Consider the following 22621-nt stretch of genomic DNA (forward strand, 5'->3'; position numbering starts at 1 on the left):
ATGGTTCTGCAGGTGATACAGGAAGCAAAAAAAATTCATGGAGTCTCGCTGTGTTGCCCAGGCTGGACTCGAATTCCTGGATCAAGTGATCCTTCTACCTTTGCCTCCCAAGTAGCTGGGACTACAGGCTTGGTAGCATGTCCAACTTGTGCTAGACTACACTAAATTTATAAATTTATATAAATATTTTTCTGGCCAGGTGTGGAGGCTCACGACTATAATCCCAGCACTTTGGGAGGCTGAGGCAGGAGGATCACTTGAGCCCAGGAGTTGGAGACCAGCCTGGGCAACATAGTGAGACCTCTACATCTTGTCCCGCTGGAAGGTCTTCAGGGGCAATACATAACGGAGCTGTCGTCTCCTGTGACAACAGTGCCTTCTGGATACCTTGTAAAGGACCTGCTTGAGGCCGTTTTACTTAACTTTAAAGAAAAATTTTTTTTTTTTTGAGACGGAGTCTTGCACTCTTGCCCAGGCTGGAGTGCAGGGGCGCAATCTCGGCTCACTGCAAGCTCCGTCTCCTGGGTTCACGCCATTCTCCTGCCTCAGCCTCCCGAGCAGCTGGGACTACAGGCGCCTGCCACGATGCCCGGCTAATTTTTTGTATTTTTAGTAGAGATGGGGTTTCACCGTGTTAGCCAGGGTGGTCTTGATCTCCTGACCTTGTGATCCACCTGCCTCGGCCTCCCAAAGTGCTGGGATTACAGGTGTGAGCCACCGCACCCAGCCACTTTAAAGAAAATTAATTAAAGGCATATACTCTAAAATAATGGTAAAAGTATAGTATAGCAAATACATAAACCAGTAACATAGTTGTTTATTATTCTTAAGTATTATGTACTGTCCATAATTGTATGTGCTGTGGTAGACATATTTTTAAAAAATTCATGGGGTCTTGCTATGTTGCCCAGGTTAGACTCGAACTCCTGGGCTCAAGTGATCCTTCCACCTCCACCTTCGTATTAGCTGGGACTACAGGCTTGGTGGCATGCCCACCTTGTGGTAGACATTTTTACACGACTGGCAGTGCAGTGGGCTTGTTTACATCAGCATCACCACACACACGTCAAGACTGTGTGTTGTTGGATTACGACACCTATGATGTCACTGGGCGGTAGGAATTTTTCAGCTCCGTTGTAATCTTAGGGGACCACTGTCGTATGTGTGGTCCGTCATTGGCTGAAGCATTGTTATGTGGTGCATGATGGTACTACCGATATTACAATATTGTTATTTTTGGCAGAGAGGTTTTTCCCATTCTTGTCTCTGTTCTCAAGTTGTTTGGGGTGGCAGACTGAGCCAGGGATGTGGTTCAGTGTCCATTATCTCATAGATCCAGGGCCCTGACCACTTTTTCTCCAGCTCCACCTGTAGGATGCCCTCCTTTTGGGCCTGCAAACACAAAATGGCTAATCTCACTGACTTTCTTGGATATTCAAGCTCAGTGGGAAATGAACTTTCAAAACACAGAAGGCGTGATTTCAGAGTGTCTTCAAGGGGGCCTTACACACAAAAGGAGGCTGGGCGTGGTGGTGCAGCTGTAGTCCCAGCTACCCAGGAAGCCAAGGCAGGAGGATTGCTTGAGCCCAGAAGTTCAAGACCAGCCTGGGCAACATAGTGAGACCCTGTCTCAACCCCTGCCCCAACAAAAGCCCCACGAAAGGCTGAATTACCCATAGCCCCCCAAGAAATACCTTCCTGGCTTTATGGTGAGTCAGGCACCCCTGCACTCTGCACGAGGCTGCCTGGGTAACCACTCTGTTCCTCACTAAAAGGAAAGACTAAACACTTTGAGATTCAGCACCTCATCACATCACCATCATTATATTTTGGAATTTTTTATTGTGAAATATACGCAACATAAAATTGACCATTTCAACCATTTTTAACTGACATTAAGTACATATACATTATTGTGCAATCATCACACTATCTCTTTTCACAACTTTTTCATCATCCCACACTGACACTGTGCACCCATTAGATGATAACTTCCCATTCTCCCCCTACTTCCAGCCCCTGGTTATCATCATCCATTTTCTGGCTATGAATTGGATTATTCCAGGTACCTCATGTAAGTGGAATCATGCAATATTGAACCTTTCGTGACTGGCTTACTTCACTTAGCATTGTACCCTCAAGGTTCATCCATGCTGTAGCCTGTGTCAGATTTCCTCCCTTTTTATGGCTGAGTAATATTCCATTGTGTGTATATGCCACATTTTTTTGCCCTTTTACCCAGTGATGGACATTTGGGTGTTTCTACCTTTTGGCTATTGTGCAGCATCGTATTTTAAAATCGAGTGCCCACTCTTCTCCTCTCCAGTCACTCCAGTGGCTCCCCACTGCCTGCACACCCACCCACAGGACTTTGCACAACCGAAATGGATGCACGTGTTAGTAATGTGACATGTGTTTTCCGAGGTAGTTTTTCTATGCATTGGATCCGTCTATCCATCCCCTTTATGAAGCTGTAAATGCTCAAAGGTTAGGAGCTAAGATTAATAGTTCCTTCTACTACCTCCTGAGAGTCTGTTTCAGGAAGTGGTAAAGGATGTTGGTTAGGAGTGTGGGTTGTGAGGTCAGACCACATGGGTTTGCATCCTAATTCCACCACACACAAGCTCGTCATCACATGTATCCCTTAACTCTTTGGCACTCAATTTGTCCACTTATGAAATGGTGATGTTGGTGGTAACTACCTTGTAGGGCTGTTAAGAACATTAAATGAGATAATCCATGTATAGGACTTGGCCTAGTGTCTGATACATTGTAAGCCCTTGAATGTTAGCTTAAGCAAAAATTAAGAGCTCAGCTTCCTTTCAGCATTTGCCTTTTTCATCTTCATAATTCCCTTGCTGGGCAGCTCAAGGGTAGGATGAACGGTTCCTGCCGTGTGGAGTGGCGTCCCTGGGGCCAGCTGTCCCTCGGGGAAGCAGTGACGGGAGCCTGGCAGAGGTAGAACCCTGTTTATTGTTCATCCCTGACCAACCCCTCCATGCCCTCTGTGCATTCAGATATCAGGTGTACTTGGAGGTGCCCAGGCCCCTGGGTCTTCTTTGATCCCTCCCTGCATCCTCTTTCTTGCGTGGATCACCGATGTGTGGGACAAACTTGGCAACTTGGGAAGGTCTCTGGGCGGCTGTACCGCCTCTTTGGCCCTCTCCAGGATAGTGCTGTTGGGGTGGCCAGAGGGTCGCTTCCCTTCTACTTCCGCTTCCCCCGGTGGCCAGCCCTGCCCCACCAGCCTGGGAAACCTGATTCCTCCTGCCCTCAGTGCCAGCGCACTGGCAGGATCTGGCTGGGCATTTGGCAGCCGCTTGAAGCAGCCTGCGGTTTCGCCCTAAAGCTGATCGAGCTGGTGAAAACGGAAGTTCCCCATTTTTCCCCCTCTATTTAACAACATTTCCCCAAATGTTTACTTGATCCTCTCATGTTTTCTTGTTCGCGTCAGCTACTAGCTTTCCGCTTGCTGGCCACAGCAAGGCAGGGAGAGGTTTGCTGCTGCTTGGGGCTGATTTTCTGCTCTGGAAAGGCATCTCCAGGTGTGACGGACAGCAGAGGGTGGGAGCTGGGCAGATGGTGTCTGGAGGCAACACCCCAAAGTCAGGTGACTGCATCCAGGTGATAGGGCTTCTCGGGACTGGCCTGGGGCAGGGTGGCAGAGTGGGCCCTTCCTAACTGCGTGACCTCGGGCAAGCTCCTGAACCTCTTTCGGCTTCTGCTGCCTCACCAGTGAGATGGGGATAATAATAGTACCGGCCCACAGAGATGTGCAGAGTCAGTGAGATAACCTACACAAAACGCTTAGCAGAGTGTCTGGCACACACGGCCGTGCTCTAAAAATGTGAGTTACTTCTATTTTTACCGGCAAACTTTATTTTTGCTGTTTTCCAGCCTTCTGTTTCTTTGCACATTTTCTTTTTTTGTGGCGACCTTGATTCCTTTAGGATCCCAGTGCTCTTGGATCACTCCCTTCTTGCTTCTAGCAAAGCCCACTCTCGGGAAGGGGTCTTACGTTGTAGCCGCATCGGATTTCAAGGGCAGAACCTTCAAGGTCGTTGGGGCCAGTGCCCGTGTGGTATTTGTTTTTGCTGAGCGGCTCTTTGCTGTGCTGCATCTCCTCGCCTCCTTTGACGGGGTACACACGCTCTACCTGCTGAGACAGTCTCCTCCATCTTTGTCATTTTCTCCACTTTTGGGGAAAAAAAAAAAGAAACCGGATGTTTATGGAGCCCTTTACGTGCCAGGAGCTGCTGGGCACAGTCATCTCATTTCATTGTCCCAGCCGGCCTTCGAGGTTGGTGGTGTTAATTGCAGTTTTTACCCAGGCACCGCGTGGTTGAGTAAATAGCCAGAGGTCACATGCAAGCAAGCGACAGTGGGACTTGGTTGAGCCTGGACATGCCGAAGCTGCGGCCCACGTTCTCTGCGCTGATGGTGGCGTACAGCAGCAGCCAGTTGCACAGGTGCTCCCATTAGGATCTCAGCCCCTGCACTTACTGGATGCCTGTGGGCCAGTTACCTACCTTCTCCAGCCTCATTTTCTTCACCCGAAACTGGGGGCAGTCCCATCTACCTCCTAGGGCTGTTGTGGGTATGAAGTGAGAAAATCCTCTAATGCTGATGAAAGCTTCTGGCCTGACCGTGGCAGGTGTGCAGGGAATGCTGGCTGTGATGTGTGCTGTGATGCTGGAGCTTGGCTTCCGGGAGGTTCCATACTCTGGGAACTTGCAGGACAGGTCCTGTCCTTGGACCCTCGTCGGATAGGCCCTCAGGTGTTTGTTACCAGGTATTGTGTCCTTCCCAAAGTCCTCGCAATTTTTTAAAAACATTTTTTTTCTTGTGGTAAAATACATACAAAATATATCATTATAACCATTTTAAAGTGTGTAATTCGATGGCATTTACTACGTTCACCGTGTTTGTAAAACCATCACCACTACTTGCTTCCATGGCTTCTTCATCACCCTGACTATGAATCCTGCACCCCTTACCTGTGACCCCCCAGGCCTCTCACCACTGGCAACCACTGATCTGCTTTCTATCTGTGGATTTGCCTCTCCTGGACATTTCGTGTAAATAGAATCATACAGTATGTGGCCTTCTGTGTCTGGCTTCCTGCACTTAGCGTATTTTCAAGGCTCACGCATGCTGTAGTGTGCATCAGTACTTCATTCTTTGTAAGGCTGAATACTACTCCATTATACCTATGTGCAATATTTTGTTTTTCTGTTCTTCTGTTGATGGACATTTGGGTTGTTTCCACCTTTGGGCTGTTGTAAATAGAGCTGCTATGAACATTCATGCACAAGCTTTTGTTTGGACACCTGTTTGCAATTCTTTTGAGCATATACCTAGGAGAAGAATTGCTGGATCATATGGTAATTCTATGTTTTAACATTTTGAGGAACAGCCAAACTGTTTTCCACAGCGGCTGTACCACTTTACATCCCTGCCGGCAACGCATGAGGGTTCCAATTTCTCCACATCCTTGCCAACACTTGTTATTTTCCTTTTTAAAAAAATTATGGCCATCCTAGATGTGAAGTGGTATCTTACTGTGCTTTGATTTGCATTCCCTGATGGACCATGACATGGAGCATTCTCCTTCAGTTCCCGCATTCCTGTTTTCTCCTGACCCGGTTTGAGTCTCTCCCACTGTTCTGTTCATGCTTCTCAACATGTGGCCCCATTTGTCTAGATCCTGTTTAAAACACCAGGCCCCAGGGCAGGCCTCCAGCTAGGTTGGGCGAAGCCTGGCGTGGACGACTCCCACTTCCCTGGTTCCAGATATTTGACTTTTTCCTATTCAGTCTCCTCTGAAAGGCGCCACCCCTCCCCAGCCCATGAAGCTTCCCAGGCTCAGGTTCTCCCATCCCTAGTGGACCGGTGGCTCTCAGCCTCATCGTCCCCACCGCCCGCCTGTCAGGTAGGTCAGGGTGAGGACAGGCGCCACCCTGAGGCCGCCACAGAGCTCCTCCCCGTCACCTTTGGGGCCATTAGGAAGCGGTCAGGTCCTGCCTCCTCCAGATTGTCTCGAGAGGCGTTGTAAGAGCCTCACTCCCCAACACCAGCAAGCTTGCTCCCTTGGAGTATGACTTGAAGGCACCATTTTATGTCTTTTGGGTGGGTTTACGGTTTCAGGCCTATTTCTAACTGGAATCAAAGACTGTCCCTCGGTGAAGGAATTTCAGGCACGAATGAGCAGATGCGTGAGGTATTTTGGGGGCAGAGAGTTTGTCCCTGTGCTCCAGAAACCACTCCACCATCTGCCTCCGTGCACAGGCCCCACCCATCCCGGAAAAAGAGGGGTCCTCTCCTCCCACTTCAGGGCTCTGTCCCGGGAGGCCTGGTCTGTCTCACCAGGCACTTCCTACAAGTACACAGTTTGGTCATCTGCCAGCAGTCTGTCTGTCTAAAGTGTTTATTTACTTTAAAATAAGACTCAATTATTATATAATTTTTTTTTGCTGTAAAAAATAAAATAACATAAAAGTATCAGTAAAATGTGAGGCCCCATTCCTATGCCCCTCTCCCAGCCCCAGGGACCCTCCCAGGGGAAATCACAGGAGAGCCTTGGTATGTATTCAGAATCCTTCCAGGCCTTTCATTCCAATGCAGTCATCTTCCCCCCACCCTCATCTAAGGGCAGCTCCAAAACAGACAACACCAGCAGGCTGAGTGTACCAAAGAAAACAAGGTCAGTGCCCTAAAATGATGCTGCTTGAAGTTGGATGAGCAGGTGGTTTTTTTCTCCCCAGGTGGCTCTGCTCAACTCTGGTGTGCAAACTTGAATAAGGGGTGACTGGGGAAGGAAACCAGAGTGCAGAGGGTGGAGGTTTCCAAAGAAACAGGTCCTGTGAAAATGGATGGATGACGGGGAGGAGAGGAAATTGGCATTAGCATCACCTCTTGATCACCCACCATGGCACGGGGTAATGGCCAGACAGCCACCCAGGCGCAGTTTCTAGCTTGACACTGGCTTTGCATCTTTTGGTGAAGGTAAGTTATTGAACCCCCCTGGGTCTCAGTTTCTTTGATTATAAACAGGGTCAGCGCTTAGGGCTGTTGTGAGGGACTGATTCTTGGAACAGCCCCTTAGAAGGTGTGTAATGTAAGGGTTGCCGTCCCGATCTTGCAGGGTGTCAGGCTCCAGGCTGGTGCTTTGCTTCCTGTGTCAGCTCAGCATGGATGCTTGGCCTTCCTCGTCAGCCTTTCCCGCCGTGGACTGTGGCTAAAGCAGAGCTCAGTAGGTCGCATTGCTAAAAACAGGCACCCCACTCCCAGGATTTGGGTGTTTAGTGTGTTTTTACTGTGTGAATGAATGGGTGATGGGTTGAGACTTTCTCCTCTCCGAAGATGAGAGTATTGTGGGAACAGTTACACAATTAAAGGTCACTGGCACTTTAGCAGGAATTAGTGTCATAGAGATTTTGACCTGAAAGGGACCCGAGATGATCATTCATTGTATAAATGGGGAACTTTGAAGGTTCAAGGAGGGAAGAAACTTGCCAGTCATGTCATACAGCCAGTTAGGGGATGGTCAAGGCTGGAGCCCAGCTCCCCTCATTCTGTCTGTCCTGCCTCATATCTGCAAGGGTCTGCTTGCCTCCGCTCGGGGCTGCTGCTTTGGGGTGGAAGGTCGCTTGGGTCAGAGGGCCTTGGGTCACAGGCAGATGGGCCCTCTGGAGGGATGGAGGGAAGTTTGGGGACAGTGGCATGGCCGATGGCTGTTTGGGGCGCCCAACTTCTGAGACAGAAGGCGGGAAGCATTTGGGGCCCTGGGATCCAGTTTGGTCAGGCCTGGAGAGCCAGCTGCTCTGCTGGTGAATGTGACTGTGAGCTGAGAGCAGGGGCTAGCTCTGCTGGGGAAGGTGGACGTATAGTCAGGCGATCACAGTCCAGGGTGGATGAGGGTGATGGCGTGCAGCGTGGAAGAGGCAGTGACGTTTGTACAGGCACATCATCCATGTATAGAAGGGAGGAAGAAGAACAATGTGGGGAAAAGCATGGCAAACGCAGGGGCTGGCTAGCTGTGGAGGACATGGGGGAGTAGGGGAGAGACCACTCGGAGGTGCCTGCAGTCAGGGCTGGCATCTTGTTTGCCTGTTCCTTCTCAGTGCCTAGGCACTGCATTGCTTTAGAGTTGGGGCAACACTATTAATTGATTGATTGACAGGGTTTTGCTCTGTCACCCAAGCTAGAGTGCAGTGTCACGATCGGAGCTCACTGCAGCCTCGAACCTCCTGTGCTCAAGCAATCCTCCCACCTTGGCCTCCTGAGTAGCTGGTACCACTGATGCACTCCACCACACCTGGCTAAATTTTAAATTTGATTTGTAAAGATGGGGTCTCACTGTGTTGCTCAGGCTGGTCTGGAACTCCTGGCATCAAGTGATCCTCCTGTCTTGGCCTCCCAAAGTGCTGGGATTACAGGAGCGAGCCACTGTGCCCGGCCACCACGTTTTTATTTGTTACAGGGGTGTATGAGGCACACTCCTTCCTTAATCCCTGGGAGGATAGGCAGCAGGCTTTTGGTGTTCTGTGGGTTTTTGACACGTTTTCTCCTTCTTACACCCTCTGCTTCCTGCTAGGTTCTGCCTCAGCCAGCTCATCATTCAGCCCTGGTCCAGGCCTGCAGGGTTGAGGGGCTGTGGCCCTGAGGCTTGCTTGGTGGCCTTCTGGCTTGTTGCTGTTCTTACTGATGTTGACCACTAGATGGCAGCAGGAAACCTATCAATTTCTCCCCCAGGTCCATCGTATTCAAGTCAAGCCCTTTGGTCTGGGTGGATCAGCCATCGCCCCTTGATGGCATGGGGACTCAAATTCCACATCTCACTGATTCCAGGATGGGTCTGAGGAAAGGCTGGGATGAAGCCGAGGCAGCCCTCTCAGACGTACCCTGTGTCCAACTCTCCTGTGACATTCTTGAGAAGCGGCTGTCTCAGCTCAGGTAGTCCCAGGGTTGGGAGATACCCTTTTAGTAGAGTTCCCACCATTGGGAAAATCTTTGCCACGTGTGCTGGCTGGGTTTTCAGTGTCTTAAAGGGTCCAGAAGCCGAGACCCAGTGTCCCCGAGGAAAGTCCTGTTGCTCCCCGAGGAGTCCCCAGCTTGGTAGCCTGTGCAGTTACTGAGGGCACTGTGGTGGTGGGACACAGTGCTCCTGGCCTGGGAGGGACAACAGCGTAAGAGCAAGGGCATGCTGCACATCAGCAGTGACGTGCAGTGACAGCAAACATGTAGGAAGCACTTCGTGAGCCAGGGATGCCCTGACTCCTTTGCTTACATTTATTGGTTTCCTCCTCTTTGAGGGGCAGCCCTGAATCCCTCCTAATCAGGTGCAGCTGAGCGGGGCCTTGAATGCAGGCAGGCTGGCTCCAGAGTCCCGGGATAAGTCACGCACCACTCATCGTGGGCATTCTTAAGCCTTTGCGTGGGGCTCGACAGTTTGTGTTACAGTTCACGTGGCTCTTCCTCAAATGCCTTGTCTCATTGATCTCCCCCACAGCCCCTGTGTCAGGTACTGGGGGATCCTCTTTTTTGCAGATGAGGAAATTGAGGCTCAGAGAAGTGAAGGATGCCTCCAGCATTGCAAAGACAGGACACCAAACCCTGTCATTAGATTCTGAGTCGGGGTGGCTCTCCTTTTGTCGTGAAGCGGGTTTGCATGAGTAGGGTTGGAAGGAGGGAGAGGAGCCCTCAGATGCCTGAGGTCAGGGCAACTGTCAGAAAATCTATTCTGTTCCCAAACCCTCTGTAAGAGGAACACATGTTCAGGTGCCCGTGGGAAGCTGAAGCTCCTGCCCAGCCAGTAAGTAAACAGGAGCTGGAGGGAGAGAGTGTGCGAGAATGAGGAGGTGGTGACCGCAGCCATCCGCTCCCGCCATAGTGTACCCCTCAGCTGGAGGCAGGGGTGGGGGGCACATTGGCTGGGGACCCCTCTAAGGCAGGGCTGGAGAAACAGCCCCCACTGTGCACTGTGGAGCCGCCAGGTGGTCCCAGCTGCCAGAACCCCTGCCCCGTCCAGTCCTGCTGTGAAGGCTTCGGGTGTGGAAGGGCATTGTGTGCTTGTGGTGGGATCTGAATCCCAGTTGGCCTGTGGAGCTACCACTGCTACTCTGGGATCAACTGAGGCAGGGGACTGCGGCCGGGACCCTCTTTCCAATTGGACCTTCTCAGGGGCAGGACCTTCCAAACTAAGGGGCAGCAGTGGATGGCTCCTGGGCTCCTTGTCGTCTCCTCTCTGGGATGGGTGTTCTTGAGGCCTTGGGCTTCCGCCCCCATCCCACCCTCTCTGGGGTGTGGACACAGGGCCCACTTGGGCATGTCAGCTTCCCTGGAGCTCCCGCAGCTGGGCCCTGCCCACGTTTCCCCGGGCCACGCTCTCCTGGCTGCCCCAGGCCTCACCACTCTCTCACTGGAACACATAAGTGCCTGCCCCTGGAGCCCAGGCCACTGTCCTGACTCCTCGCCCTTCCCAGAGCCCCGCCTCCTGCTGCCTGCCTCCCATGTGGCTTCACATCCTGCGGGTTTTTCCAGCTGACACAGCCCTTGTAGATACATACTCTGCTCTGGGCACCCCACATCCATGCCAGGCCCAGATTTGGGCCCCAAGGGAGTGCTACCCCCTGGGTTGCAGTTCAAAGGCTTCTGCTTTCCAGCCAGATGGAGGAGGGCTCTATCCCAGGCTCCAACATCCTGCTTGGCTCATCTCCCCCACCCCCTGCTCCAGCTGCGTCCTCCCTGTTGTGCTCCTGGCAGTAGGTTTGCTGAGAGGGAAGGGGGATTCCTTTCCTCTTGGCCTCTCCTCTCTCTGTTACATCAGCCTACAGCCCAGTACCCCTGGGCTCTGCCAAGGGAGGGCTTTTTCTTTTTTTCTAGGGGAAATAATTCCACCTCTTGTCACACGGATTTCTGCATGCAGCTCTTCAGGGGCTTGACTTCCTTCCCTCGTCCTATCCCAGGCCCCTTGAAGCTCAAGAGAGGGGCAGCTTTGTTTCCTTAAACAGGGGCTGCTGCTGGCTTTGAGCCTCCGAGGAAGGTCGTGTGAGGAGTCGGGTGTCTGGGTCCCGCTGTCCCCCTCACTGGCTGTGTGACCCCAGGACCATCCTTGCCTTCTCTGGGCCTCAGCACTCCCTTCAGGAGCCTAGGACTGCATTTGTCGTCCATGGGTGGTGAGGGGGCAGTGCCCAGCGGTGCCCGTTCTGGAATGGAGGGCTCTGCCCGTGGGTTTGGTAGTGTGATTTTTCCACCCCTGGGCTGGCCCCTCTGCCTGGGGCGGGTGTAGCTGGCACACCTGTTAGGAATGAGGCATCTCCTTAGTGCCAGGGAGACGAGAGCCCTGGGGCTGGCTGGGAAGTGCAGGGCCCAGCTGAGAAGGAGAGCGAGCTCAGTCTCCTCACTGCGGGTCATTCACCACCTCCCGGAGTCGGTTAGAGGAGGGGGCTAGTCCAGGGTGAATTGGTGGGATGGGAAGAGGCCCCAGTGCCCAGCTCTGCCCAGTCCTGTCTCCTCGCTGGGCTCTCTCCTCCCGTTTCTTTTTTTCTTTTTTTTGAGACAGGGCCTCGTGCTGTCACCCAGGCAGGAGTGCAGTGGGGTAGTCATGTGCAGCCTTCACCTCCTGGGCTCAAGTGATCCTCCCTCCTCAGACTCCCAAGTATTTGGTGTCTGGGACTATAGGCACGTGCCACCATATCCGCCATACAAAAAAAAAAAAAGGACTTTTTTTTCCTTTTTTTGTATTTTTGTAGAGATGGGGTTTCGTCATGTTGGCCAGGCTTGTCCCAAAGTCGTGGGCTCAAGTGATTCGCCCACCTTAGCCTCCCAAAGTGAGCCATCGCATCCGGGCTACCCTGTTTCTTCTTTGTTTTGCCCCATCTACCTCCTTCCCTTTGCTTGGCTTTCTTTCCCTGCACTTATCTGACTGCTGGCCGAAGGTTCCAAGCCCTGTGGGCAGGGTGGGTCCTGGACCCTGTTCTCCGCCCCTCAGCCCGTGCTCTGTTCTTCTCCAGGCAGGCGGAAAGCTGTACCCTGCTTCCCAGCTCAGAGCCCAGGGCTACAGGCTGTGGACGCCCTGAGGAGGGTTTCTCTGGGCCTGCTCCCCCACCCTCCCTACACGCTGTGCCCCAGCCCCTCCCCAGAACCCACATCTGGCCCAAGTGCTCAGTTTTCTGGGCTGTAAATTGCCTCCCGCTGCCCCTTGGCATCCTCTCAGGTTTCAGCTTCATGGCTGTTTTGCTTTTGGTGGGGGGCGGTGTCCAGGGAAGGCTCAACTTGTTTCCTCTCTTCCTCTGTCTGAGACCATGGAGAGAAATCCTTGGCAGGGTTGTTCTCGATCCTTCCGTCCAAGTGTTGGTGAGCTGTGGTTTTCAGCAGGTGGCTGAGTAGGAACCAGTTCTAATTAGATTTCCCCCTTTTCTGTTCACACCTCCCCCTCCCCCTCCTCCCCTCACCCTGCCAGTGGCCAGCCTTCCCCAAGTGTCCCCTGCCGTGCAGTGGAGGGGCTTGCAGTCGGCCAGCCTGGGGATGGTGGGATTCGCTTCAGGCTGCGCTGCCCTCTGCTCCTTCTTGACCTGGCCCTTGGCCTAATGCTCAGCCTCAAGGGTCCCCTCAACTCCCTGCATCCCCTCAGATAACTTTTCCTTTTTTTCTTTTTTTTGAGACAGGGTCTTGCTCTGTCACCCAGGCTGGGGTGCAGTGGTGTGACTCCCAGGCTCAAGTCGTTCTCCCACCTCAGCCTCCCGAGTAGCTGGGACCACAGGTGTGAGCCACTATGCCCAGCTCATTTTTTTGTATTTTTGGTAGAGATAGGGTTTCACCATGCTGCCCAGGCTGGTCTCAAACTCCTGAGCTCAGGTGATCCACCTCCCTCGGCCTCCCCTAGTGTTAGGATTACAGGCAGGAGCCACCGTGCCTGGCCTCAGATAGCTTTTATGTTCCTTCACAGCAGGTGACTCTCTAGCCCCTGCAGCTGACCGTCAGGGGCTCAGGCCGTTGCACCCACGTGGCCTCCCCAGGAGCATGGCAACCATCAGCTCCAGCTGGTCCCTGGGCAGATCCACTCTCCCCGCTGCAGAATTTGCTTTGCACTATCGCCTTAGCTCATCCACACACCTGGGGAAGCCTGCTTGCTTAGGCCTAGGAAGGGTATCTCAGGGCAGCCACCAGGACAGTCGGGTGCAAGTAATCATCAGATTACTACCCAGAGTGTGGCCCGTGGACCTGGGCTATCTGTAAGGAATTAAGTCCTGGAGTGGAAAGCGTGCATTTAGTAATGCTGTAGCGGTTGACCTGGCCCTGACATTTTATGTTGTTTAGTGTTTCCCAGGGGTAGCTCCAGGGGAGTCTCGGAATTTGGTGGTTGGTACCAAGGAAACTTGTAGGGATTTTTAGTCGACACTGAAGGACTTCTCTCATCGAACAAGATACGGGCCAGTTTGGGTGTTGTTGAAATCTGGAGGAGAGTCATGTGTGGTGCGAAACAGGTCACAGTAGGATCATGCACTGGCCCGGGATGGACGGGAAATAGAAAGCCTGGCACTGGCCACGGATCAGCTGAGAAGTGCTGCCCTCTGCATCCCAGGCCTGCAGAGGAGTCCCTGCAGGGAAGTTCAGAGGGTTTCTTAGGAGCAGCTGAAGGGATTTTTAGATTTGGTATGGGGTGGTGAGGAGGCGTTTGGGGTTCGATGATGAATGCCCAAGGAAAGTTCAGGATTTCTTGGGGGAATTGGAATGAGGAAGATTTGTAGTTTGGTGTGGGAAGTCAAAGGGTAGTTTGGAGTTTGAGGTAGGAGGACTCAGGGATGTTTGGGGTGTGGGGGCCCACAGGGAAGGCTCAGGGAGGGCACAGAATGCTGTGAGGTTCCTGGGAAAGCCCAGGGGAAGAGTGGGTTCAGGAGTGTGGACCAGGGGAGGTTTGGAGGTGACAGTGGGAGGCTGAGGAGAGATTTGGGGTTTTACTTGCCAGGTGGAAGGGCGTTTGGATGTGTCTAGATTAAGGACCAAGGGTGTTTTGGGTTATTGGAGAAGGCTGAAGGGAAGGCTGGGTGGGGAAGGGCTGTGGGAAGTGTTGGGGTTCATAGTAGGGGAGGGAGGGGGAATTTTTGGGTTCCATGCATGGGGCCAGAGGGGAGCCGTGAGATTCAGTTGACGAGGACCACGGGGCTTTGAGGTCCTCGCCAAAGGAGAGGTTTGAGTTTTGCCTTTCCCAGGGTTAGCTCAGCTTCCACAGTCTCTGTCGGCTCTCAAATACCCCGTGTCAGGAGGAAGTCTAAAGGAATCTTAACCTGTCCCCTTCAGACCTGCTCCTTGGTGCCAGAACCTTCTTCCTCCCTCAGCTTCCCCAACTCTCTCCACACAAAGGCAGCTGTGGCATGCTGTGAGAGCACACAGGGATCTTAACTCAGGGTGACACCCAGTGGCTTTTCCAGCCTGTTCGCCTCGGTCTCCCAGCCTGGTGGTGATGGCTATCCGGCCGGCCTCTGCAGCGCACGGTGATGCCCTGGTCTCTGCCAGCTCACCTTCCTCCTGCCCCGGGCCCTGCTCCTCTGAGGCCCACACATCTTTCTAGGGCCAGCAGGAGTCCTGTGTCTTTGAGGAGGCCGTGCGTGACCCCGTCACCCAGTGGCCTGTCCCTCATTCCGTGCCCTCATTTGCCCTTGGCTGTGTCTCGGCTGCAGCTGCGCTTGTGTTTTGCCCTGACTCCTCGGTGTGCACGTGTCTCTCCAAGTCCTAGATGGTGGCACCCCAGAGGCTGGGCTGCGCGGCCTCTGTGTTGTATCTTAGCTGCTGGGGAAATGCAAGGCCGCTGGTCTAAAGGCTTTTCTCTGAGTTGGGGCCACCCATGCTTAGTCCCCACCCACCAAGCCTGGCCCAGACCTGTTCTGTGGGCTGCTCTTGCTTTTCCCCTTTGCAGGAATAGCCCCACATCAGAACAAGTCACCTCCTCCCAGTGGCAGCCACCTCAGACTTGGATGCAAGGACCCCATCCCAAGTTGTCCCTATAAGTTTCTCCTGTGCCCGGAAGCCGACTTCCTCTGTCTGGCGCTTTCCCATGTGGCCAGCAGGTGCATAGCAAGGCTTGGTGTCAGGCATTGCGCTAAGTGTCTTACCATGGCCAGGTGCTCACAGGAATCCTGTGTGACAGGTGCCTTCTATGGAGGAGGAGACCAAGGCACAGAGAGGTTAAGGAAGCTGCCCAGTGTCACACAGACTGAGATTGTCACCGCTCTGCCTGACTGCTGCTGGGGTGACGCTGCTGGGCCCAGATGCCCTCCAGGGAGCCCGCTGCCTGCTGTCCTCCCTCACTGCAGCCTTTATTTTACCATGGAGTGTCCCCACCCAGCCACACCACTGGGCTTCCCACTTGGCAACTGAGTTTCCCCTTTTTCTCTGTCTGGGGACCCCTCCTCCTTTCCTTGGAAACTGAATGGGGCTCACGTTGGCCCCTCTGTGTGGGCCCCCTCCTCGCCTCTCGCCTCCTCCCTTCCCTGAGAAGGGCTGAAACCATTCCCAGGCTGGCCCTAGATGTGGGACAAGGGCTGTGGGATGAAAGGTGATATATAAATGTAAGGCGATGATTATTTATTTGACAGGGACAGCTGCCTGTGGTAAAAAATCTAATCTAGTAATCCTTTTGTGAAAATCCGATCCGAGGCTCAGCAAGCCGCCTGAGACAGCAAAAGGCCACGTTCCCTCCCTGCTCGCCCCTGCCCCCTGCGCCATGCTCTTACTCCTGGTGCCCCGCATCCCTGCCCCCGGGTGCCTGCGGTGCGTATCTCCCTGTGTGCGTGCTGCACCTGTGCATATGTGCTCTTGCTTTTGCTTTTTTGGGTTGTTGTTAACATCCTACATAATCATAGGACAACTGTCAAAACCAAGAAGTTAACATTGGAATAGCGTTATTAACAATAGATTTTATTTAGATTTCACTGTTCCCACGAGCGCCCTTTTTCTGTACCAGGAGCCTCCATTGCGTTGAGTTGTCCTGTCTCCTTAGGCTCCTCCGTCCTGCGACAGTTCCTTAGTTTCTCCAGATCTTTCATGACCTTGACAGTGGTGAGGAGTGCTGCTCGGTCACTCTGCAGGACGGTTTTTCACTCTGGCTCTGTCTGGCATTTTCTCATGGTTAGACTGAGGTTCTTTGTCTTTGGAGAGACCACTGTGGCATGGTGACGTGTCCTTCTAGGTGTGTGGCATCAAGGGGAATGTGATGTCTGTGTGTCTTATTACTGGTGATGATGCCCTGCTCACTTGGAGAAGGTGATGTCTGCCAGGTATCTCCCGTATATAAAGTGGCCCCTTTTTCTTTATAATTAATAATATTTATAGTTATATTAATCATAATTAATAATATTTATAATTATATTAATTATAATTAATACACCATTAATGTCTTGAGGGCAGGCACTTTGAAACTGTCCTGGTTTTTTCTCAAACCTTTGCTCACTAATTTTAGCATCCATCAGGGGTTTTTGCTTGCAGCTCTTATAATTGTGGTGTTTGCCTAATGGTAATTTTCTGTTTCCCTCATTTCTTCTGCATTTATTAATTGGAATTCTCCAAGAAGGAAGAGCTATTTCTTCTGTCCCACTTATTTATTCAATTAGTTATTTTTATCATTACAGACTCATGGATATTTATTTACTTCACAGATAAAAAGTATAAATGTATGGATATAGGATATATAATAAATATCAGGATATATATTTTATCCTATAGGTTAGAGTTACAGGAACAGCACAATAGATATTTATTTTGTTGTTCAACTTGCTGCAGCCTTGGCCATGGGAAGCTCTAGGGAGCACTTTCAGATGGGCTTCTGTGCCCTTTGGTGTATTCCTGTCTTTTCTGGAGCTCTTCCTTACTTTCTGGCACAAGATGCTCCGGGTCGTGTTATGTTTCTCCTGCCCCAGGCCTGAATCAATCACTTCTCTAAGGAGCTCTGCTTCTTTTTGCTGGAGCATGGTGTTTAGAAACCAAGATCTAGGTGCTAGGTGCGTTCATTGCTACTGGGGTGTCATTGCTTCTAGGTCCTCTCAGAGAATAGAACTAAGAAATAGATATATGTCAACCCAGGCATGGACACATATCTGTATCTCTGTTGTTCTGTTTATTTGTGTTTATATTTACAAAATCACGAGTGTGTGCTGATATATTTATTTATTTATTTATTTTTTATTTATTTTACTCTTTTGAGACAGTCTTGCTGTCACCCAGGCTGGAGTGCAGTGGTGCGATCTTGGCTCAGTGCAACCTCCACCTGCTAGGTTCAGGTGATTCTTCTGCCTCAGCCACCCTAGTAGCTGGGATTACAGGCACCTGCCACCACGCCCGGCTAATTTTTGTATTTTTAGTAGTGACAGGGTTTCACCATGTTGGCCAGGCTGGTCTTGAACTCTTGACCTCAAGTGATCTGTCTACCTTGGCCTCCCAAAGTGCTGGGGTTACAGGTGTGAGCCACTGTGCCTGGCCAGTGAGTGGTATCCCTATAAGAGGGACACAGGAAGCACCATGTGATGACAGAGACGGAGGCACAGGTTGGAGCAATGTTCCTGCCAAGGATTCCCAGCAATGACCAGAAGCTAGAAAGAGGCCAGGAAGGATCTTCCCCTAGAGGCTGCAGAGGGAGCCTCTGCCAATGCCTCCATTCTGCACTTCCAGCCCCCAGAACCGCGAGACCGTAAATCCCTACTGTTGAAGCCTCCCAGCTCGGGGTACTTTGCTGCAGTGGCTCCGGGAATCACATGGAGTGGTTTCTAGTGGGGGTTGCAGGTGCGGGCAGCTTCTGTCAGGCTCCTGCCTGAGATCATCCTCTCTCACATCTGGGTAGCCCTGGGCTGCGCCCTGAGAAGTGAACACAGAGGCTAGTGCTAGCATGTCAGCCATGGCCAGGTGCCCCTTCAGTGAGGCTTGTGTTTGGGCAAAATTAGAACCCAAAAAGCTTGCATTTAAACCATAGCTGCTGATGATATTTGTCCCTTTTCCCTATTCCCCCAGACCTTTATGTTACGAGGATAATCTGATCATCAAATTGTGTTTCTTAGCATTTAATTGGACTTCAAATCAGTTGCATTGCTTTGTTTCCTTGTGCAGAGAGCTCAAGGGCACCTCCTAGGAAATGTCCCTCCTTGATTTCACACATCAAGGTCATTCCTAGGGCTCCTTTTTCTTCCCCCCACTCCCTTGTGAGCACACAGTGCGTGCAGCAGCCCTCGGCGTCCTCTGGTGGATGACGCGTTTGTCAACTGCTTGGACCGTGAGGCCCTCCGGTCAGGACCGCGACTGCCCTTGCATTCACCTCTAGACTCTTGAGCACGTGCACAGCTCTCAGTGCCAGCTCAAGGCTCTCTCCCGTTGTGTCCTCCCTGACTGCCAGTCCATGGTGCTCTTGTTCTTCCTTGGCAGTGCTCTTGTTTGGGAAATGACCTTTTTGTGTGAACTTGTTTTGACGTGCCAGCTTGATGAAGAGCTCCTCCAGGGCCAGGGTCCTCCCGTCCCTAGGAGGTGTTCAGCTAGGGTTTGCTGTGGATTTCCTCCTTTTTGATACCCGTGGGCAGAGGAGCACCCACCTCAGTACATCTTGCTGAGTTTGGGGCAGAAGACTCAAGTGCATATGGGGAAACTGAGTCCCAGGTGAAGAGAAACTCACTCGTCACCCTGAATTCTAATAGCACATACACAGTGAGGGCAGAAGAACAGGGACCAGGTGTCCAGAGCTTCCCAGCAGTCCTCTCTGCCAGGATCATCCTGTCCTGCTCATTCCTCATTTTTCTGTCCAGATGGCTGGGGGAAGGCGTGGCTGGCATCCGCCAAGGTGATGCATGAACACATGGGGTTCAGAGCAGAGAGGGCTCAGACCATTTGGGGTGTCAGGCTGGGAAATCGGAAATGAAAGGCCTGGCGTGGTGGCCAGCAAAACCTCCTCCTGGTGCAGTGTTCCGAAATCACCTGTGGTGGGTTTCATTAGCATGGGCACAGGGGAGGGAAGGCCTCTTGGCAGGCAGAAGAGACAGATGGGCTGCAGGCACTGGCTTGGCCTTGCGAGCGAGCCACGGGGCACGCGGGGCCTGGCGGTGGCCTTCCACCACGAGGCTCCCGCAGGCACAGGCACGAGGACGCTTTCCCACTTTGAGGCTGTGAGCTCCCCCGGCAAGCCCACTCCCCTCCTGGACCTCAGTCTTGTCATCTGTAAAATGAGAAGATTGGGCCAGGCGATCTTTGAGGTCTCTCTGGCCCTGACAGCCTAGATTTATGACCCGTGGCCATCAGGGGAGTGGTGACTAGGTTTGTGGTCAATGGCAAAGGGGCAGGAGGGCGCTGGGATGCGAGGTCAGGGGATGGAGCCCGTTGGAGGAGGACAGCTTCCCCTGGGTGTCTCAAGGCCCTCGGGGAGCTTAGGGTGGGGAGACTGTGTGGAGATGGTGGTCTCTGAAAAGAGGGCTTTTCTTCCTCCATAGTCCCCTGACAGTTTGGTTTTCATTCTGCCCACCTGTCTGTCTACCCTCCGTCTCTCCTACCAGTATCTGTGGAGCACCTCCTGTGCAGGGAACACAGCTGTGCACGAGACAGACAAGGTCCTTGCTTTCATGGAATCCAAGATCCGATTGATGAAGACAGGCATTAGACAAACAGTTCACAAATAGTTAATTACACTTGGAATAAGTTTAAATGCCTCTGTGCGCTCTGCTCTTCCTCCTTGATCTTACTTTTCTGCTGCCTCCACTCTCCTCCTCTTTCCTGCCTCCTTATCTTTCTCCACCTGCTTTGTGTCTATGGCCTTTCTCCACCCACCCAGTGCTGAGATCTTCCTGGGATTCTGTGCTCTCTAGGCCAGCAATGCAAAAAGCTATAGATCTTGACCTTTCTGCTTGTGCGTCTGGACATTCTCTGGGAGGAGAATGGTGGTGGATCCCGTGGCCTCCTGAAAGGGGTGTGGGTAGATTGTAAGCTTTGGGGCCATGCTTTTTTGGGTTTGCATTCAGATTGTGACACTTACAAGCTTGCACAAGTCCCTTATCTTCTCTGAGCCTCAGTTTCCTCATCGGAAAATGGGTTTAACCACACTCACCTTTCAGTAGTATTTTGGACATCAAATGGGTAGATGTAAGTGAAAGTTCATTGTTGGTACCTTGATTTTAAGGTGTTTGATTAAAACTAGCATTCTCTCCCCTTTTCTCCTTACTTCCTTTCTGCAGGGTATGTAGTGAGATATTTTTGAGTTTAGGGTGGAGACTGGAAGCAGGGGAGCCCTGGCCCTCTGCAGGTCACGCTCCAGCCTGGAACCCAGGTGAGGTATGGAGGAGCTGCTGGGCAGCAGGAGGCAGGGACCACGGTCCCTGCCCTGGGATGAGGAGCCCGCCAGGGGCTGGAGAGAATGACAGGCGTCCCATGTATCCCAAAAATGCAGTGTGGTGTGACAGCTGCCTGCTGCATCCTGCTGAGTGTTGGGGCCCGGGAGACCCTCGCCGAGGAGCAAGGTTGGTGGTGGGCATGCTGCAGCCTGAGTCCTGGTGGCATCTCCACCGACGCGACGGGAAGTGGCCTCTCCCTCCTTCAGGATCGCCCCCACCTTCCCTGCCCACTTCCAGATTCAGTTTGAGCCACCTAGGGCCTGTTCTGCCCCCGAAGAGAGAGAACCAGCCAGCCCAGTGCTGCAACGATGGAAGTGTTCTGTTCTGTACCGCCCAGTACAGTAGCCACCGGCTACATGTGGCCGTTGAGCATTGAAAATGGGACTGAAAATGCCCCAAGGAGCTGGATTTTAAATTTTATTCAGTTTTAACTTAAAATGGAAATGTAGGTGGCCACATGTTGCTAGTGGCTGCCACGTCGGACGGTACTGTTCTAGACCAGTAGTTTTCACCTGCAGTGTTGGCTCACACTGGTGGGTGCCCTTTGGTGAGAGGTGCGTTGTGAGTGCCTTGTTCTTAGTAAGAGATTACTAAGCTGTGTGAGTGGTGTACACATATGTGGAGTCGGGTGGGTCGGGGGGCACAGCTTGGCAGATAAAGGATGGGCTCCTGCAAGTCTAATCTGGGTACATTTGGAGATTGAGTGGAGGGTCTGGATAGGGGAGAAGGAGGAGAGAAGTCTCAAGCACTTCATTCATCCTGGAGACAAAGCGCAAAACTAGGGAAGGAATTTTGAGCAGTGATTCCTTTGAAAGAAAGGGAGGAAGGGCATACATCCCAGGGCCATTGGCTAAAGCACTGTATGGATTCTATAGGGGCTGGAGGAGACCTGAGGCACTAGTGTGTAGCCTGCTCATTTTACAGATAAGGAAACTGAGGCCCATCATACATTGGACCAGAATCTGAGAACTACCCTGTAAAGTAAATTATCTGCCTCATTTTGCAGCAGATAATTGCAGAGAAACTGGAAATCAAAGCCATTGGGCATTTTAGTGGAACCAAGTTTTGGTCCCAAGTCAGTCCAGAGTCACAAGCTGAATTTCTCAGACTCTCAGGCCAACACCCACACTGCCAGCTCATGGCATCCTTTCCAGCAGCTCGGGCTGGGTTCAGGATGCTGGGGTTCCTCCTTCAGCACCTGCGGCCTGTGAGGTGGCCAGCGGTGGGGCTGTGGCTGGCAGGGTATGGAACGTGGGCAGGGAGCGTGGCCGTGGTTGTGTGGGGCTGTCTGCTCCAGGGCCTAGAGCGTGCACATGACCACACTGCCAAGTGGCCCTGCTCTTTGTGGAATCCAGAGACGACTGCCTGAAAGGGACCAGGAGGGACAAGGGAGCAAGGTCAGAGTGGAGCCGAATGCTCATATTCCACTCCTTACAGAGCAGCACTCAGAGGAGACCTGAGTCTCTGCATCCTCTCCAGCTCGGCTGGGAAGCTGCCCAGGCGGGGGAGGGACTGCCCCATCCAGCTGTTGTCCACCTCCCAGCCTCCCCACGGCTGCAGCTGTCCCAGCTCCATCAGTCACGTCCAAGGCTGGGTGGGAGGAGGGGATGAGGAGAAGAGGGGGCCTCTCGGGCGTGCCTGGCCGAGGTAACTTTGGCTCCTGCCTCTAAGGAGGTCTCCAGTTGCTGAGGGAAGAGGGGAGGGTGGTGGCTGCCTCCTGGATCCTGGGTAAATTGTGGGGTGTGGGTAGCTCAGCTTTCAGCCCCCCGCCATTTGTCTCTCTGGGAGGGCCAGTGTTTTATTGAAAAGAATAGAAATGGTCGAATTCTTCCTTCATCTACATCTAACAAGTTCTTTTGGCACTTCTTAGCTTTGCTGTAGTTTTTGTGAATGAATAAATGAAGGGCTCCTCACCTGCCTCCAGGGTAGGGAGATGGGGTCTTTGTTTCTTCCGGCTTACTGGTTTGATGATGGTCAGGCCCTGTGTGTAGGGGCTGGACTTGGGGAGTGTGAGCTGTAAGGATGGGTGTATTTTGTCCTCCAAGTGTGGCAGGAAGGAGGGAGATGCCCATCCTGGCATTACCATTTTCTGCAGCCAGATACATGCCTTGCCTTCTTCTCTCTTTTTTACCTGAAATTCAGCAGAGTCCTTGAAGTCTCTAACAACCTTGCATTCTTCAGAAGCTAAAGAGAGATGCAAAGAGAGAAGTGGTCCTCTTTCTTGGCCAGACCTCAGTTTGCCAGCCTGAAGAATGGAGAAGCATTGC

General features: G+C 52.3%; 1 protein-coding gene across 7 annotated transcripts in view, besides 5 other annotated features; it reads left to right on the forward strand.

The window, feature by feature from the left end:
• Window positions 1-22621, forward strand: part of TSPAN9 (tetraspanin 9) — a 209181-nt gene that overhangs the window by 49547 nt on the left and 137013 nt on the right. The gene's annotated exons all lie outside the window — the stretch shown is intronic.
• Window positions 6178-6472: an enhancer, noted in NCBI's record as "tiled region #6988; HepG2 Activating non-DNase unmatched - State 15:Elon, and K562 Activating non-DNase unmatched - State 23:Low". NCBI's record gives its function as "activates a minimal TATA promoter and a strong SV40 promoter by Sharpr-MPRA in HepG2 and K562 cells {active_cell/tissue: HepG2 | K562}" and the evidence as "EXISTENCE:reporter gene assay evidence [ECO:0000049][PMID:27701403]".
• Window positions 8732-9233: an enhancer, noted in NCBI's record as "H3K4me1 hESC enhancer chr12:3244823-3245324 (GRCh37/hg19 assembly coordinates)". NCBI's record gives its function as "activates a minimal SCP1, AML or CMV promoter by ChIP-STARR-seq in naive H9 embryonic stem cells {active_cell/tissue: H9 hESC(naive)}" and the evidence as "EXISTENCE:reporter gene assay evidence [ECO:0000049][PMID:30033119]".
• Window positions 9234-9733: an enhancer, noted in NCBI's record as "H3K4me1 hESC enhancer chr12:3245325-3245824 (GRCh37/hg19 assembly coordinates)". NCBI's record gives its function as "activates a minimal SCP1, AML or CMV promoter by ChIP-STARR-seq in naive H9 embryonic stem cells {active_cell/tissue: H9 hESC(naive)}" and the evidence as "EXISTENCE:reporter gene assay evidence [ECO:0000049][PMID:30033119]".
• Window positions 9795-10645: an enhancer, noted in NCBI's record as "H3K4me1 hESC enhancer chr12:3245886-3246736 (GRCh37/hg19 assembly coordinates)". NCBI's record gives its function as "activates a minimal SCP1, AML or CMV promoter by ChIP-STARR-seq in naive H9 embryonic stem cells {active_cell/tissue: H9 hESC(naive)}" and the evidence as "EXISTENCE:reporter gene assay evidence [ECO:0000049][PMID:30033119]".
• Window positions 21721-22266: an enhancer, noted in NCBI's record as "H3K4me1 hESC enhancer chr12:3257812-3258357 (GRCh37/hg19 assembly coordinates)". NCBI's record gives its function as "activates a minimal SCP1, AML or CMV promoter by ChIP-STARR-seq in primed H9 embryonic stem cells {active_cell/tissue: H9 hESC(primed)}" and the evidence as "EXISTENCE:reporter gene assay evidence [ECO:0000049][PMID:30033119]".

Source organism: Homo sapiens, chromosome 12 (assembly GCF_000001405.40).
Source record: "Homo sapiens chromosome 12, GRCh38.p14 Primary Assembly".
In the NCBI taxonomy this organism is placed as follows: Eukaryota; Metazoa; Chordata; class Mammalia; order Primates; family Hominidae; genus Homo; species Homo sapiens.